The sequence below is a fragment of the Homo sapiens genome, chromosome 8 (assembly GCF_000001405.40).
Source record: "Homo sapiens chromosome 8, GRCh38.p14 Primary Assembly".
Lineage (NCBI taxonomy): Eukaryota > Metazoa > Chordata > Mammalia > Primates > Hominidae > Homo > Homo sapiens.
This window is the reverse complement of record NC_000008.11, coordinates 142,095,934-142,098,445: the sequence shown is the minus strand read 5'-3', so window position 1 is coordinate 142,098,445 and position 2,512 is coordinate 142,095,934. Positions and strand designations below refer to the sequence as shown.

Genomic DNA, 2,512 nt, shown 5'->3' with positions numbered 1-2,512 from the left:
CCCCTCCCACTGGTGCTGCGACTTGGAAATCACCCTCTCCTCTTTGTACAGTCAACGGCCAACTTTATTGATGTGTAATTGACATGCCATAAAATGCCCCGTTTGAAGTGGCAGTTTGATGTGTTTTGACAAATCTGTAACATAACCACCAGCACAATCCAGACAGCGCATTCCCATCACCTCCCAAAGCTCACCTGGACTGGGGGTCAGCCTCCCCCACCCCACTCGCCTCCTCACCCCACTCGCCCACCCAGCCCATAGCAGCCGATCTGCTGTGTCCGCAGCCCTGGCATTTATGTAAAGGGCGCCCGCTGTGCAGTCTGCAGGCTTCTGCAGCTCAGCACGAGGTGTTGCGTTCATCCTCGCTGCCACTCGTGCTGGCTGCTGGCCTCTGTAGTGTCCCATCTGTGACCTGCTTATCCACATCCATCTGTCTTTCTGCTGATGGGTGTTGGGCAGTTTCTGTTTTTGACCCTGATTCTGTGGGGCTGGAGGCTGGGATGTAGACCAGAGGCTGAGAGGCAGGGTCTGGTCAGAGTCAGGGGGAAGGGGGCAGTGCCAGAGTCCAGCTGAGCCTGTGGCTTCAGGGCTCTGCTCTTCCCCAATCAGCCCGGCTTCCAGTGGAGTCTCAGCTTAGCACCGAGGACACACCCGTGAGCTCCCATTCCCATGCAAGATTTCAGGGGAGGAGAACTCAGGCCGGATGGCTCAGAGACACAGACAGGTGGATTCCAGGTGGGAGAAGGCACTTGACGGGTTTCTAACCCATGTGATAGTCCACATGCGGATGCACGTGCATCCCCACACGTGTAGCCCACACGTGTACATGCAAATCCCCACGCCGAGGCCCCCAGACATCCTGCCAGGCACTGGTCACTTCAGTTATGATCTTGGGGTAAAACTAAAGCATTAATTACATTATACAGAAAATGAAAATAAAATTACATTTTCCTTTGTAAATATCCAGGAATTGCAGCTCACCAGTTGCAGCTGAGCACCATGCCTGTCCATTGCAGGATGTCCCAGGGCCCTGCTGGGAGGGTTTTTATTAGGATCTTTGGCATGACTGGGGCTGCGACTGGTGTGCTGGCTGTGGCGAGAGAAGGATGGGGTGAGGCTAAAAAGCTGGATGGTGATAGGTAGGCAGGCTGTGGTCTGGAGGTGCCACTGATCAAGGTGGGCACACCCGTGGCCTGTGCCTGGCATCTGCACTCTTGGGTGCATGGCCCCAGGGAATTCTCCCTTGTGGAGGGGAAGTGCCAGGTGTGTATTTGTGGTGTGGGAGTTTGAGGATGCCTGGGTGCCTGTTGTGGGGAAATGGGGGAATGGGGGTCCCCCGTGGCACACTTGTCAGCAGGCGGAAGGAAAACATTCGATGACCCTAGGGCAGTGCGGAGGGAAAAGGGCAAGAGCCTGATGGGGTCATTTATGGAAACTGGAAATATGTATGGATTCCATGTGCACATTTGGCCAAAACATAATAGAACAAAAAATCCACCCACGCCCATTAGATTGGTGGATTTTTGGGTTGAGTTGGGTCAAGGAGACAAAAAGGGACAAACAACTAAAGCAAAGAGAGGGAGGCCTGCCTGGACCCCGCCTTGCCCATCAGGGTTGGTGGGATCTGGCTGGACCCCACCTCGCCCATAAGGGTTGGAGGGCCCTGCCTGGACCCTGCCTCGCCCATCAGGTTTGGTGGGATCTTCCTGAATCCCACCTTGCCCATCAGGGTTGGTGAGATCTTCCTGAATCCCGCCTTGCCCATCAGGGTTGGAGGGCCTTGCCTGGACCCCATCTCGCCCATCAGGGTTGGTGGGATCTTCCTGAGCCCCACCTTGCCCATCAGGGTTGCTGGGATCTGCCTGGTCAGGCACGGAGTGACCGGGGAAGGTGAAGTGGCAGCAGCAGCCCCAGCTTCTTGTGGGAGTCACTAGCTGCCTGCAAAGTGAATGGCTGGGCATTGTGTGCTTGCATTGTCTTCTCAAAGGTAAGAAGTCATGTGATTTGTGCTAGTCGTTCCCGGCTAGTCGTTCATTCTTCCACTAATTCTGTAAACACTAACCTGTGCTGCCCCTGAGCCAGGCCTGAGCTGTGTGCTGCGGCCCTGGAGAGGCAGGAGGTCGCCTGTCCCCCAGGGAAGTTCAGAGGCTCCTGAGCAGGCTGGGGGCACCTGCAGAGGCTGCCTGGAGAGGGCGGTGCTTAGCAGAGCAGTGAGGAGGAGCCAGGCCAGGTGGGGTGCAGGGCTAGGGACTGAAGGCATCCTCTCTCCGTCCTCCCTGACTCCTTCCTAACTCTTCTGGGGACTCATGAAACTTGCCCTCCCCTCTTCCCCACTGCCCCAGGAGGATTCAAGGAGAAAATCGCAGACAGCGCTTCACCCAGTGCCTGGCGTGTGGCGGCCACTGATAGTGGCGGTGATTTTCCCTGGTGTGCTTCCGTGGGTGGAGGGTGGTAACAGAGGCCCCTCCCACCGGCTCCCCCACCCTCTCCGCAGCAGCAGCTCCTGCTTCCC

General features: G+C 56.8%; 1 annotated feature.

The window, feature by feature from the left end:
* Positions 1,588 to 2,186: an enhancer, noted in NCBI's record as "H3K4me1 hESC enhancer chr8:143177621-143178219 (GRCh37/hg19 assembly coordinates)". NCBI's record gives its function as "activates a minimal SCP1, AML or CMV promoter by ChIP-STARR-seq in naive H9 embryonic stem cells {active_cell/tissue: H9 hESC(naive)}" and the evidence as "EXISTENCE:reporter gene assay evidence [ECO:0000049][PMID:30033119]".